The sequence below is a fragment of the Homo sapiens genome, chromosome 22, assembly GCF_000001405.40.
Source record: "Homo sapiens chromosome 22, GRCh38.p14 Primary Assembly".
NCBI lineage: Eukaryota > Metazoa > Chordata > Mammalia > Primates > Hominidae > Homo > Homo sapiens.
The window spans coordinates 48865876-48881418 of NC_000022.11; the positions used below are offsets into that span (position 1 = coordinate 48865876).

Sequence of the window (15543 nt, forward strand, 5' to 3'; positions counted from 1 at the left end):
CTAACAACACCCAGGGCAACAATTACGCTGGCACGTCCTTTACTCTGGGACCTGCCTGGCCCTGAGGCCGTGTGGGCTTTGCTGGTCGGGTCCTCCCAGCCCTAAGAGGGGCAGGTCTCAGGATCCCATTTTGCAGACCGGGAAGTGGGGTCACCAGACAAGGACTGCACACTGTCCCACAACAAGGAGTTGTTGGATCCCAGTCCCAAACCCAACGTGTGTGACTTCAGAACTGGTGCTCTGAGGAGCTTCTCAGTCACCATCACTGTGCACTCCCTTAGCAGGGATGGATGTGGAAACTCACTCCTGAATTGGACAACTATTGCTGTTTTCCGTGGAGCTGCCAGAGGGATCATTGTAGAGCAACGGTCACCAGAGCACCACTCAGCTGTAAACACTCACTGCAACGAAGCTAAACCCAGACGACAGATCTGGCATGGCCTGGCCTCCGCTGCTCCCCAGCCTGGAGGACTCTGGCCATGCCTCGGGGACATTTCTAGGCTGGAGCATAGACGAGCCAGTGCACGGACCTCCAGTTCTGAGTCCTGCCCTAACACCTGGGAGGAACGTGTGAGTTGTTGATGAGCCGCGATCTGTAGCCATGCTGGAGGAGTTGGCATGAATGGGAAATCCACCTTTCTTGCAAACTCCGACATGCCACTGAGAATTCAGAGTGATAAGCTTAGCCTAAAGCTGCCTCCTCACATAAGTTCAGCCTAAATGGCATGAACCCAGGAGGCGGAGCTTGCAGTGAGCCAAGATCACGCCACTGCACTCCAGCCTGGGTGACAGAGCGAGACTCTTTCTGAAAAAAAAAAAAAAAGTCTTTCTGTACACAGTGAACTGTACCAAACTGGACGTGTAAATAGTCTGTAACCTACTCTTGTGCCAGTCATCGAGTTTTCCCTGATCAAGTAAGACAGACCCTAAGCTGGAGCCAAGTGGCTGCTTCTGGACTGCGCTCTGTCTTCCGTAAGTCACCCTACTTTTTCTGTTCATAAATCTTCTTTGGTCCCACGGCAGTGCCGGAATCTCCCTGAATCTCTTCTGGTTCGGGAGGCTGACTGATTCCCGAACCATTCTTTGCTCAGTTAAACTCTGTTAGATTTAATTTGTGTAAAGTTTTTCTTTTAACGAGAGTTAGCTTCTTCCTCCTCCCTGGCCTCGCCTGTCCTTGCTGATGCGGAAACAGGTTCCAAGAGAGGTGCCTGAGCGCGGTCAGGAAACCTCCAGACGTGGCAGAGCCACGGTGACAAGGAGATCCTGTCTCAGGCTGGGGATGTGGGACCCAGGTGTGCAGGCAAAAGAGCTGGGGAAACTGAGGCCTGCAACGGCACAGGGGGAAGCACGAGCACTGTGATCAAAGGCTCAACCCTGCGGTCCATTCCCTGCCCACTGTGGGGCCCAGAGCTGTGAGCTTGGATGCCGGTGTCATGAAGTTAAAGCACAAAGCTTCTGAGTCCCCGTCTGGAGGACAGCTGCCCCGGCATGCTGCCCAGCTGGCTCTGACAGTGTGAGGATAGACTCTCACTGACCCTGCGCTTGAGCTGGACAAGCCTGTGACTCCCTTCCAGCAACAGAATGTGGCCCCCATGCTGCGTAGTACAGAATCTTCCAGGCCTCTGTCCTGGCACCCCTGCTGCCTGAAGCACCTTCCCCGAGGAAGAAGCCACCGGTTTGGAGCGGAAGAGGCCAGCCAAGGGGCCGGGGCCTGGGAACGGTGGGTGGCTGTGCTGAAAACCATCTGAATCAATTCAAGTTGAACTTGAACTGCATTTTATTCCACTGACATCAGAATTGGATCTCCTCTGGGGTTGTGGGAAGGATTCAATATTTAGAGACATTAATTACTTCAGCACCACATTCTGCCTACTGTACGGTACACATGGGGGACAGGACTCAAATTAAACTGGTCCCTGCTCCTGGGGAAGCCACATTCAAAGAGGAGACAATTGTGAATGAAGCTGCCTGGAACATAATGGGGCCGTCTGCAGGGGAAGGCAGGACTAGCTCAACCCTAGGTAATTAAAGGTCTCTGTGAGATGGGTCTTGAGGGTTGAGTAGGAGCTTAAAAAGCAGTTTGAAGGGATGAGTCTTTCCAGGAAGCAGGAATGACCTGTGCGACCCTGAGGGGGTGCAAAGGACAGAGTGTGCTGGAGAAGGGAAGGAGTGCTTTGTCCTTCGTCCTGCCTGGTGGGGCAGGGCCTCCGGGGTACAGACCCCACCACTCGCGTGCACCAGGGGTGACAGCCAGCTCCATGCAGATGGCCTCCAAAGCGGTCGCTCCTGGGCTTAGCTTCCCTGAAATTAGAAGCAGACGCCTGTGCACGTGTATTATCAGCTTTCGAACATTGAAGGAAACAGCTCTTTTGCAATAACTGGATTCATCATGATACAGATTTTCCCTGTGACCTCTTTATTACTTTTACGCACCACCTTGTATTAAAAAAAAAAAAAAGAAAAAGTCTCAGCCTTCTACTCCCTGCAGCCTGGTTGACTCAGATTTCTTTCACTGTTTCTCCTGTACAAACAGGCAAGGGAATGAACCTCCCCTGCCACGGTTTCCAAGCATATTAAAATATGGTCACCCCTGCAGAACTCCTAATGTTCTTGTTTAATGTGTCAGAAAAGCAAATGGAATTTTATTTTGCTTTGGCACCAGTGGAGAAGAATAATCGTGTCCTCATCAGGAGGGCTGGAAGCAGTGTCCATTTGCAAGTCCTGCAGATGGGGGGTCAGGGAGGCTTTGCCTGAGGCTAAAATGCCCTCAGAATCCTCTGCCAGTTCCTGGCCCGGAGGCCTGGTGTTAGTTAGCTCTACAGCTACAGAGAGAAATCCTGGAAGATGGCTTCAGGCCCGCAGCTTCCCAGGAAAGGAGGTCAGATGACATCTCCAAAGTGGTCCTTCCTGGAAGGTTTCAGAGATGATCAACCCCTAAGCAGGGCCCGTGCCTGGTGACTCTCGGGTCCAGGGATGGCTGGCATATTCCTGGCACCGTCCCTGGGTGGGAGCAAGGGCACCATTTGGTTTTGCCTGGAAATTGGACCTTGGCTCCTTGTTCCAAACCGAATGTGGCTGAGGAGCACTCAAATAGTTTCAGGAAACACCCTTCAAATTCAGTTTGCTGGGTTCAGCAAGTCAAAATACAGGAGGATTAGTTACATTTGAATTATAGATAAACAAGGCACTTATTTTTAGTCTAAGCATGTCCTAGGCAATATTGGGGCTAAACTTATAACAAAATTTATTTGTTGTTGACCTGAAATTCATATGGGACTTAGGTACTGAAATTTACCTGGCAATCTACCTCCAGTGCAGCTGACGTTACAAAGGGACTCTGGGTCGTGGAGCTGCCCGGCGTCCTGGCTGTGGGATGGGTACAGGCCTGTAGGCATGCAATGCACGGGCCCACAAAGGGCCCATGGCAGTGCCCAGGTGATCAGGACCAGACGAGACTGTGGGGCCAAAGGGAGGCTGTCACACCTGCGGGGCCCTGGGGAGGGAGCTGTCAGAATTGGGAGGTGGCTTGGATACGGTTGGGGAGCTGGTTGTCCTGGAAAACCGGTGGGTTGGGACATTATTTCCCAGGTTAGGAGGGAGCGGGGAAGGGAACGGGCTTTGCCAAGACATTCTTTTGTCTAATTATTTGGACTGGCACAGCATTTGGGCCCGATAGCACTCAGTATATCTGTGCGCAAATACCTGGCTTGACTGCCCTGTGTCCACCTTCCACCCTGGCCCCCAGGGCTCCAGGCTGACAGTCAGACCTGACCACTTTACCTTCATGCTCAAAAGCCTGTGCTGCCTGCTCCTAATAAACTTGAAACTGGCTTGTCTTCTAAGCTGGGCCTTTGGTGGCCATGATAATTTGGCCTCCTGACAGTAGCTGCTCCAGCATCATTTTTTCCTTCCTTTTTAGAGAGCCATGATCTTACTCAGGATGGCCACACACTCATCTAGAAGAGGCCATCTCCAGGCCTATTCTGCAGTCAGATCAGTCCAGACCACTAGGTTCTGGCCAAGGCGAGGTCAGCAGAAGTATTGCGGTATTCTGGGAGGGCCCCTTCTTCCAGGATAGCACACGTGATGGTTGGTGCACACGCAGCCATCTTGGACCCTGAGGCAAATTCAGTAAGGATCCAAGCATAGTAAGAGAAGGGGCCTGAGCCCTGGAGGATTCCATTCCCCTTCTCTCTGCCCTGTCCACCCCCCGATTTGTGCAGGAGAGAGAAGTGATCTTTCACATTGGTTAGGCCATTGTTCCTTCTTTTTTTTTCTTTCCTAACTTTTCATTCTCCTCTTTTACTATTTCTTGCCTGTTACTCCTTGAAAAGGCACTGCACCATCTTGCTTTGGTCCTCCCCCTGCCTCCTGCCAGGGAGACTTCTCTCTTTTATTTTTTCTCCACCTTACAAGCATCTGCTCAGTCCCCACCCTCAGCTCTCCCATCATCCTCCCGGGTAGATTCCGCAGTGCGCTCCATCCTGCTTCCCCCAGGCAGCCTTGGTGTGGTCTGTGTGCCCCTGGGGTGGGTGCCTGTCCTCCTCTGCTAAGCTCCCAGGGAACATGAACTACGTCTCCTGCCTGATTTCGCCATCATTCTTGATCCCTCTAAAACACAGCGTTTGCCAGACTCTCATGCTGTCAAATGCTCTTTTGCCCTACGCCCTGCTCATCTCATGGGCCTGAAGCTCTACGGAGGGGCAGACGGTTTAACTTGTCATGGAAATCAAGGCTGCGCTGTGAAGGCACACCTGGCTGTTGCTGAGGATGCAAAAGAGAACCGAACACACCCTGGGCCCCCCTGTGGGGGCCGGGGGAGAAACGTCAGGGCCAAGGGCTGTGCCAGGGGCTGGGACTCTAGGCTGAGGCACCTGAGGCAGGCCCTGAAGGTCGGCTCCTCCTCGCCTGAGCAGCTGGAGCCACCAAGCGGCACATTTTCCTTCAGGGGAAATTTGCCAATGTGTTTTGAATGACCGTCCAAAATGTGCGCCCAGAAGCCAGTTGACATAATGAAAACGCTCTTTTGTTGGAAGTCATTTTTCCATGCAGGTATGCATATAAAATCGAATGTGTACTTGAGATGGAAAAACAGATGGTTTAACTGTCTCTAATATTGTAGAGGGGTCACCTATTACCATCATTTCAGCCAAAATTTCCATCATAATGGCGTGCCCCCGGAATCAGGGGGCCGTGGCACCTCCACATCGCCCGTGTGTCTGCATGATCTTCCTCCAGCAGCAGCGGGAGCACACACCCTGTGCCGGGGGCTTCCTGCTGGTGTGGATTAAACGGCTCTCAAGGGTCCATGCACTGGTGTTGTTTTGTCAAGATGTGGCTTTTATTTTTAAAGATGCAGTCTCACCCTGGGTTCTTAGTGTGAGGGGGCGAGCTGGTGCCCTCCCGGGGCCGAGCCAGTCTGCAGCCCCCAGCTGTCTCTCTAGGGACCTGAGATCCATCTGGGGGTGTCCTATTCTGAGCAGCGTGCGAGCTTCTCCCTGGCAGCACATCCTCTGGCTCTGCAGCTGGGAGCAGGGCTCCAGGGAAGCACGAGGTGCTCAGAAGGGAGGGCCAGGTTGAACACTGGAGTCTGAGGAGTGATGGAGGTGGTGAACTGATGCCCGCCCCGCTGTTCATTTTCTTATTTGGCACACATTTACCAAAACTCTAAGAGGTGGCCATCCCCCTGCCTCCCCATCTGGGCATCCACCCCAACACCCCAGGAAGCAGCTCTGGTCTGGTTCCCCGCTGGGTCTCTACACACCCCCAGCCAGCCTCCCCACTGCGAGTCCTGTCCCTCTTGGGCTCCTGTGAGGCCGAGTCCTCCTGTCCCCCACCCACCACCCTGCTGCCCCTCCCAGCTTCCTCCCTGGATGCTACTGGGAAGGCCAGAGTTCACCCTCCTCTGCCTCTCTGGCCCTACGTGGCTTCCTCACCCCTGTATGTGCACATGCACCTGCTCCCTGGGGGCCTCAGGCTCTTCCTGGTCTGAAGAGCCCTGGAGGTCCCCACAGCAGAAACATAACACACAACAAAGGCTCCAAAGCCACAGCTTCAGCCTCTATAGAGCTCAGGACCTGATAAAGTCCAGGAGGCTAGGCTGGTCCGGCCCCTCCCCTGGCTCCGAGAAGCAGCCGCGGGGCTTCTGTGGTCTCGTCCCTGGCTTTGCCCAGGTCCACCTTGTTCGTCTCACTGAGGAACATGGCTGTTCTTGTAGGGCACTGGGGAAATTAACATGAGCCTCCAGGCATCTGAGACAGTGTGTGCCACCACGGCCATGGGGCACAAGTCAGGCCCCTGTCCCTCCTGCCTCCCCATGACAGGGACACCTGGAGCTCAGTCCCAGGTGCTCTGAGATCTGGAACCTAATGCTCCACCCCCATCACTTCCTCCCTCCTGCCTTCCATGGCAGGGATACCCAGAGCTCAGTCCTGGGTGCTCTGAGATCTGGAACCTGATGCTCCATCCCCATCCCCCCCATCGCTTCCTCCTCCAGCAACGCAGGGTAAACATTCCCTGAGCCCCTTCACTGATGGAGCCCTAGAGACCCTCCCCGCAAAGGGCTCACATCCAGAGCAGGGCAAAAGCCAGGTTCATCCAGCGGGGAGGAAGGGGGAAGGGAAACACCAGGTGGGCAGTAGACAGAGCAGCCTCCAGCCCAGCGGGTTTAGCATGTGCTTCCTACCCAAATATACACGTGATAATTTACTTATTTCTTGTTTGTCTTGCTTGTCTTCTGCTAGAATATTAGCTCAATGAAGGTAGGGATTTCCTTCCTTCCTTCCTTCCTTCCTTCCTTCCTTCCTTCCTTCCTTCCTTCCTTCCTTCCTTCCTTCTATTACATTCCAAGCATCTTGTACAGTGCCTGGCATATGATGTGTTTTCAAGACTTAAGCAAATGAATGAATCGACACACGTGTTGGTCAGTTGCCAAAGGCTTCTTCTCTCTCCGCTGAATCAGGCATCCCACTATCAGTGCGCAGGACCTGCTTCCAAATGTGTGCCTTTTCCGTGAGATTTCCAGACTCATGCTCAGGAACCTCTGGGTGTCCTGCAAAGTGAGGCTGCTACAGCAGGGGCTGACGGCCGGGACACCTTCCCTGGGGCGGCTGCTGGCCATCCTGTCTGATGGGCCAGATGTCTCCACCTGCTTGGATTCAGAAATCCCCCCGACTCCAAAACGAACCTTTAAGTGTGGCGCAACTTTCGGAATGAGCAAGCGTCAAACCCAGCAGCTGCCTCTTCTTGGGGACCACGGCCCGGTGGCTGAGGAGCTGCAAGTGCTGTCCCTGAGACTCTGTCATGCCTGAGGCTGCCCTTGCTCCCACGGACTGCATGGGAATTATCATCGCTGCCACATGTCACAGAAATTTTTCTGTGAAATGCAAATCGCATTAATTTCCCCATTCCCTAATCCAGAACATTGAATTTTATGCTAATAATGCCAGCAGAATCTCATATGAAAACCAGAGAGGAATCACTGGGTCCTTCCCTTCCCCAGGGACTGTCTCAGCTTTGGAAATGTCACATGCACAAAGAGAGGGGCTGTTCCCCAAACAGGCCATTATCACAGCTACATAGTGAAGGGAGTGCTTTTCCTTTTAAAATCATTGTATTGAGACATGATATCAATACAATAAATGCAATTCTTTTCAGTACAGTGTAATGAGTATTGACTATTTTATACCTATGCAACCATCAACCTCCAATTTGTTCTTTTTCAAAATTATTCTCATTATTCTAGATCCTTTGCGTTGTCCTATAAATGTTAGAATCACTTACATATTTCTATTTAGAAAAAAAAATCCTGCTGGGATTTGTATTGGGATGGCATTGATTGTATAAGTCTTGTCGGGCAGAATTGTTGTGCTAAAAATATTGTTTCTTCTACTTCACGAATTTCCTCTATCATTCCATTTATTTAGGGCTTTCGTTTCATATTTTTCTTAGTAGTATTTTATGATTCTAAGTATACAGATCTTACACTATTTCAAAAAATTATCCCTAAGTATTTCATGCTTTTTTCATGCTACTGTAAATATTGATAATTAAATTTCCCATTGGTTCATTGTTAGTATTTAGAAATACAGTTACCTTTGTGGTCTTGCTGAGATCATTCAGATTCCGTAGGATATTCTGCTCATGTCACCTTCACATAAAAATGTTATTCCTTCTTCAATCTGCATTTTCAGGTTTGTTTCTGTCAGTGAATAATGAATATTGTCAGATGCCTGTGTCGAATTTATTGACTTTCTTCTATATTCTGTTAATATAGGGTGTTACATTGATCAATTTTCTAAATCCACCTGACATTCCTGGGAATGAATATACACACGTGCACACACAGATATACACAGACATGTATATATATATATATATATATATATATATATATATATATATATATGTATAGGCATGTGTCTATGTCTTTGTATACATATGTATCTAGATTCAATTTGCTAATAATTTATAAACATTGGCATCTATATTCATGATATTTTTAAAAGTTAACGTTGTGTGATTTTCCCCTCATCATAATCGTGGTGATGCTGGACACATAGAATAAGATGGAAGGTTTTTCTTTTCTGTTTTCTGGAAGAGCTCACTTGGGACTGGTGCTGTTTCTTCCTTAGTGTTTGACAGAATCCATCACTGAATGCATCCAGGTCTGGAGTTTTCTTTGAGGAGAGACTATAAATTATGCATTTAATGACTATTCAGATTTGGTACTCCTTTCTTCAATATTGATAATTTGTGCCTTTCAAGGATGATTTTCATTTTGTCTATGTTGTCCAATTTATTGCATAAATTTACTCATGTTTCTTTTCATCCTTTGAATTTATACTGTGCCTGTAATGAGTCCCTTCCTTCATTCACGATATTGGTATTTATGTCTTATCTCGTTTCTCTCACTTTCTCCTTTTTTTTTTTTTTTTAGAGGCAGGGTCTCACTGTGTCGCCCAGGCTAGAGAGCAGTGGCGACCATAGCTTACTGTAGCCTTGAACTGCCGGGCTGAAGCCATCTTCTCGCCTCAGCCTCCCGAGTAGCTGGGGCCACAGGCAGGCACCATGTCTTTCCTGAACAAACTGAAAGCAACCCTTCTCAGATTTATCAGAGAGTTTAGGACACAAGGTAAGACACTGCCTCCACAGCTGCAGAGAAATGCATGTGGGTCTAGAGAATTACACCTTCCCAGGAACAGACGCCCAGGAGCAGAGGCTGGCAGCCAGACTCAGGACTGGTAGAAGCACCGCGGAGGCTCAGTGTGGACAGGCCTGAATGTCAAACACTCGGGAGGGGACCCCAGTCTTAGGAGGTCCCACACTGCCCGGACCTCACAGTGAATATCAGAGAAAACTCCCCTCTGCTTCTAGCAGGGGTGGGAAAAGCTCTGGAGCTCTGCTCTTAATAGGGGCTGCTCTCAAGAGAAAAAGTGTTACCAGATCTTAACCTCCTGGGGTTTTATCAGTGCCTAATGACCCAGGGAGGAGACACACCCAACTCCAGCCCCTCTAGCTTTCCTGTCTTGTTTAAGGGAGAGGAAATCAAAACAAAGCTGAGCAGCACTTGTGAAGGTCACAGTCCAGGGGACACAGGCTCCCTAAAAACTGAGACTAATCAGGGACCAGAGGATACCCCTTCCACACCTCAGCACCTTATTTAAGAAGGGGAGACCCAGGGACAGTAGGGAAGACCAAAGCAAGAGCCTCAGAGGAGCTTTGAACCTCCAATACCTATAGCTAATTCTCAGCCAGAGAAACTTCAAACTGACAAGAAAGGCTTCTTTGTCTCAATTTCTTTTACCCACTACAATATGTTTACCTCTCAGCAAAAAATGTAGAGCCGGGCGCAGTGGCTCATGCCTGTAATCCTAGCACTTTGGGAGGCCCAGGCAGGTGGATCACCTGAGGCCAGGAGTTCGAGACCAGCCTGACCAACATGGTGAAACCCCGTCTCTACTAAAAATACAAAAAAATTAGCCACGCGTGGTGGTTCAGGCTTGTAATCCCAGGTACTTGTGAGGCTGAAGCAGGAGAATTGCTTGAACCCCAGAGGTGGAGGTTGCAGTGAGCCAAGATAGCACCACTGCACTGCAGCCTGGGTGACAGAGCGACACTCCATCTCAAAGAAAAAAAAATGTTGCAAGGCATATCACAAAACAAAAACATAATTTGAATAGAAAGAGCCAGCATGAATACCAGACTCAGATATGGCAGAATTTTTGGGATTATCAAACCAGAAGTAAAAAATAATTATAATTACTTTATTAAGGGCTATAATGAAAAAAATGGACAACATGCAAGGACAGATGAATAATGTCAGCAGAGAAATGGAAATTCTAAGAAAGAGTCCGGAGGAAAGGCTGGAAATAAAAAACACTGTAACAAAAAGGAAGAATGCCTTCAATGGGCTCATCTGTAGACTGGACGAGGCTGAGAAAGAGTCAGTAGGCTTGGAGACGTCAATAGAAACTTCCAAAACCGATGAAAAAAGAAAAGAACCAGAATATCCAAGAGCTCTGAGACAATTACAAAAGGGGTAACATACTCATCATGGGAAAAGAAAAGGACAATATAAAGAGAAAAGAACACAGTACATATTTGAAGGGATCATAGCTCATAATTTTCCAAAATTAATGATAGACACCAAACCACAGATCCAGGAAATTCAGAGCATCCAACAGGATAAACACCAAAAAATCTACACCTAGGCATATCATGTTCAGACTGCAGAGAATCAAACACAAAGGGACAATGTTGAAAGAACCAGCTTTTGGTTCTATTGATCTTTTCCATTGTTTGAGGTTTTTCAATTTTATTGATTTCTATTCTTATCTTTAATATGCCCTACCTTTTAATTTTAAGTTTCATTTGCTTGATTTTTCTTTTCTTGTTGTGTAATATTAGATCATTAATTTCAAAACACTTTTCATTTTTCATGTGAACCTATAAAACTACAAATTTCATTCTATGCACTGCTTAACTAAAGGCCACTAAATTTTCATTCAGTTTATAATGTTTTATAATTTTTCATGTGATATCCTCTTTGACCCATGGGGTATTTAGAAAAGTAATTTAAAAATTCAAAATATTTAGGGATTTTCCAGACGGGCTTTACTACTTGGTTTATAATTTAATTCCACTTTAGTCAGAGAACATGCTATCTATGCTTTTAGTCCTTTTAAATGTACTGGAACTTAATACATATTAATTTCCTGTCTGGTTCAGATTTTACAACAGTGCAATTTTCCAAATCTGCAACCTGTCTTTAATTTGGGTTAGAGTGTTTTTCACTTTCTCTGTCTCTCCTCTCCTCCCCTTCCTCCTTCCTCTCTCCCTCTCCCTCTCTGGTAGAATATAATGAGTTTTAACACACGCACAGAATCCTACAACCACTGTCACAGAAGGTAGAGAGTCCTTATACCCGCCGCAGAGCTCCCCCATGCTGCCCTCTGTATTGAAACCCCACCACATCCTAACCTCTAGTAATCGTTGAACTTTTCTCCACCAATATAAGTTTGATTCTCAAGAATGTCAGCTTTCGAGAGGCTTATTTTTCCCTTAGCATAATGCCTTAGAGATGCATCCAACTGGTGCACATCAATAGCTTATTTCCCTTTATGACTAAATGAATCCCACCGTATGGATACCTATTATTCTATGCATGCTACCGTTGTAGGACAGGTGCGACGTTTCCAGTTAATGAACAGAATAGATAGAGCTGCTACAAACATCCATATGCAGTTTTGGGTGTAAACACAAGTTTTCATTTCTTTGGGGTAAACACCTACAAATAAAATTCCTGTCATCTGGTAAGTGTGTTTAACTTCATTAAAAACAGCCAATTTTAGAGTGTCTGTATACTTCTTATGTCTGCTAGCCATGACACAAGAGATGTTCAGCTGCTCACCTTTCTCACTAGTACACACTGTTGCCTGTATATGTATATATTCTCCATTCTAGCAGGTGTGCAGTGATCTCTCCTTGTGGTTTTGATTCCTATTTCCTTAATGCCTAATGATGTTGAGCACCCTTTCATCCACTTCTTTGGTAATTTATTTGGTGAAGTGTCTGCTCCAATTATCTTCCCATTTTTAAAATGAGTTTGTTTTTTTTTTACTGATGAATCATGAGAGTTTTACATATGTGCGTATTTCATCAGGTATGTGATTTGTAAATATTTTCTAGCATTCAATAACATTATCAGGTTCTTTCTCAGTGTAAAGCAAACTTAAAGCCTTAATTTATCTTTGTTTAAACGGAATGTGCTTATGGTTTTGTCAGTATTCTTTCCCTAATCAAGGGCCATACATATTCTTCCTATATTTCTTCTAAAATACTACAGCCTGGCTGGGTGCGGTGGCTCACGCCTGTAATCCCAGCACTTTGGGAGGACGAGGTGGGAGGATCACTTAAGGTCAGGAGTTCGAGACCAGCCTGGCCAACATGGTGAAACCCCGTCTCTACTAAAAGTACAAAAGCAGGCCATGGTGGTGCATGTCTGTAATCTCAGCTACTCGGGAGGCTGAGGCAGGAGAATCACTTGAACCCGGGAGGCAGAGGTTGCAGTGAACCGAGATCGTGCCACTGCACTCCAGCCTGGACACAGAGTGAGACTCCATCTCAAATAAATAAATAAATAAATAAATAAATAAATAAATAAATAAATAAATAATATTTACTGCCTTACATTACAGCTATGAGTCATTTTAAGGTAATTTTTATATAAGCTGTGAGGTTTAGGTTGAGTTGCATTTTTCTTTTAGCATATGGATGTTCAATTTAATGAAAATACTATCTTTTTTCCATTGAATTGCCTTTGTAACATGTCAAAAATCATTTGGCCATATTTGTGTGCCTTATTTTGAACTCTTTGTTCTCTTTTATTGACTTAGGTGTTTATCCCTTTACCCATGTCACACTATCTTGACTACTATAGCTTTACAGTCAGTTTTTTGAGACAGAGTCTCGCTCTGTCACCCAGGCTGGAGTGCAGTGGCGTGATCTCGGCTCACTGTAACCTCCGCCTCCTGGGTTCCAGTGATTCTCCTGCCTCAGCCTCCTGAGCAGCTGGGACTACAGGCATTCTTAAAATCAGGAGGTGTAAGTTCTCCAGCTTTGTTTTCTTTCTCGAAATTGTTTTAATTGTTTTAGCCCCTTAGACTTTCCATATACATTTTATGATCCCCTTGTCTGTATCTACAGAAATTTTTGCCAGGATTTTGACAGAAATTATCTAATTAAAGCCCTTCTGAGAGATACAAGGAGGTAACATTTTCAAACTTTTCCTTGTTTTAAGCTTGTCATTTTCAGTTTAAGTATTTTATCTAGATTTTCCAATTCATTAATACTGAACTGTCTGAGGAAACATCCTTTTGTCTCATCTGTGTCTTCTTTGATCACTTTCAGTCTTAAGAATTTCATTGCCATTGTCTCTCTTTCTTGTCTTGACTAAGTTTACTATTTTGCAAGCATTTTCAGACAGTCATCTCTTTTTTGTCATTAATTATCCTGAATTTTACTGCTTAGAAGATTTACAAGACCTTGTTTTTTTCTCGTAAATATATTTTGAACTCATAAATTCCTCATAGTGCTTTACTATGTCTCACCAATGAATATATTTTCATTTTCATTCTACTCTAAGGTATTCATAAGTTTTATGATTTTTCCCAAGGCATATTGAGTTGTCTGTTATTTAGGTTCCTATGAGATTTTTTTTAACAATACTCCTCAGTGAATAGCTCCTAATTTTATTATACATTGGCCTGGAAGATAATCAGTATGATGTTGATTCTTTGGAATTGGGAGAATACTTCTGTAATTTTGCTCATGGTTAATTTCTGAGCACATGTTGTTCGCAGTATGTTTACACAGAACGTGCATTTTCTGATTGTTGGTGTAAGATAATCTATCTTCTACTGTGAGCTCTTTAATTAGGTTATCTAAATTTGCTGATTTTTTCCTACTTGTTCTGTCAATTACTTGTAGCGAAGTGTTAAAATCTTCTGCAGTGTTGCTCGCGTATTCCTACTCTGCAGGTGGCTCGCTGGCTGTTGATGTATTTTGAGGCTGTGTTGTTCTGCTCCTACGTGCTCGTGGTCATTACGTCTCCTCCATCACCTGCTCCCTTGACCAATACATAACTGGCTTCTGTATCCTTCCAGTTTTGCCCTTGAACTCCAGTGTGTCTCACATAATGGTTCATCTTGGCTCTCATATATATATATATATATATATATATATATATATATATATATATACACACACATACACACACACACACATATATACACACACACATATACACATACATATACATATATACATACGTATGTGTATATATACATACGTGCATATATGTGTATACATACGTACGTATATGTGTGTATACATACGTACATATATACACATATATACATATATATGCATATATGTGTGTGTGTATATGCACATATATATATTTTTGCTGGTGTATCATTTTCATCACTCTATTTGTATTTTTTCACATTGAAAACATTTCAGAAAGTGAGAAGTTACAACAGTGCAATGCATAACCCCATGCCCTGTGCCGGATCCGCCATGGCTGCAATGTCATCCTGCCCGTTTTATCTCTGTTGTAACGGCAGTGGTTGTTGTTGATGCGCCATTGGAAGGTAACTTTCAGAATCGTGACTTCCTGCCTCAAACGCATCATCCGTATCTTCTAAGAGCATTCACATACCTCGAGTCTCTTACTAAAATCTCTCACTGACACAACCCTACAGTGCCGTGTGGAGTCCATACCCACATTTCACTCCCTCTTCAAATAATGTCCTTGTTAGCAACTATGATTGTTCTTAGTCAATGGCTCAGGATTCCAGCAGGATCATGCATTGCATTTAGTTGTCACGTGTTCATCTCCCTTATTCTGGGATAATTTCTCATCCTTCTTTCACAACATTGATAATCTTGAGGATCACAGCCTGACTGTTCTGTAGAATGTGCTTTCACTTGTCTTTCTGGAATGTTTCCTCGTGCTCCTCTTTTTGGCGGGAAAACCCATGAAGTGAAGCAGAGTCCTCCTGATGGACAATTTGAGGACTGCCCTGCTGTTGGTGCTGTGGCTGCCATGGCGCGGTGAGGGTGCTGACCACGAGGGCTTCTCCACCGTGGATTCTCCACCTTCTCCCTCACAATCAGTAAATCACCTTTGGGGCCGTCTTTTGGGCTGCATACTCATCTTTTTTTTTGAGACGCGATCTCAGCTCACTGCAAGCTCCACCTCCCGGGTTCACGCCATTCTCCTGCCTCAGCCTCCCGAGTAGCTGGGACTACAGGCGCCCCCCACCATGCCCGGCTAATTTTTTTCTATTTTTTTTTAGTAGAGACGGGGTTTCACCGTGTTAGCCAGGATGGTCTCGATCTCCTGACCTCGTGATCCGCCCGCCTTGGCCTCCCAAAGTGCTGGGATTACAGGCTTGAGCCACCGGGCCCGGCCTGCGCCCTCCTTTTTTAGACCAGAGCTCCGGCCAGGGAATTCGTCCTGAATCCATCATGTCCTGG

At 46.2% G+C, this 15543-nt stretch overlaps 1 long non-coding RNA gene across 1 annotated transcript in view, besides 3 other annotated features; it reads left to right on the forward strand.

The window, feature by feature from the left end:
- The first annotated feature begins 894 nt into the window (after nt 1–894).
- Nucleotides 895–15543, forward strand: part of LINC01310 (long intergenic non-protein coding RNA 1310) — a 31617-nt gene continuing 16968 nt past the window's right edge. The window contains exon 1 of the long non-coding RNA NR_038944.1: nt 895–972. This is a non-coding gene — a long non-coding RNA (long intergenic non-protein coding RNA 1310). The remainder of the gene's footprint in view (nt 973–15543) is intronic.
- Nucleotides 2916–3417: an enhancer, noted in NCBI's record as "H3K4me1 hESC enhancer chr22:49264603-49265104 (GRCh37/hg19 assembly coordinates)". NCBI's record gives its function as "activates a minimal SCP1, AML or CMV promoter by ChIP-STARR-seq in naive H9 embryonic stem cells {active_cell/tissue: H9 hESC(naive)}" and the evidence as "EXISTENCE:reporter gene assay evidence [ECO:0000049][PMID:30033119]".
- Nucleotides 3418–3917: an enhancer, noted in NCBI's record as "H3K4me1 hESC enhancer chr22:49265105-49265604 (GRCh37/hg19 assembly coordinates)". NCBI's record gives its function as "activates a minimal SCP1, AML or CMV promoter by ChIP-STARR-seq in naive H9 embryonic stem cells {active_cell/tissue: H9 hESC(naive)}" and the evidence as "EXISTENCE:reporter gene assay evidence [ECO:0000049][PMID:30033119]".
- Nucleotides 6108–6608: an enhancer, noted in NCBI's record as "H3K4me1 hESC enhancer chr22:49267795-49268295 (GRCh37/hg19 assembly coordinates)". NCBI's record gives its function as "activates a minimal SCP1, AML or CMV promoter by ChIP-STARR-seq in naive H9 embryonic stem cells {active_cell/tissue: H9 hESC(naive)}" and the evidence as "EXISTENCE:reporter gene assay evidence [ECO:0000049][PMID:30033119]".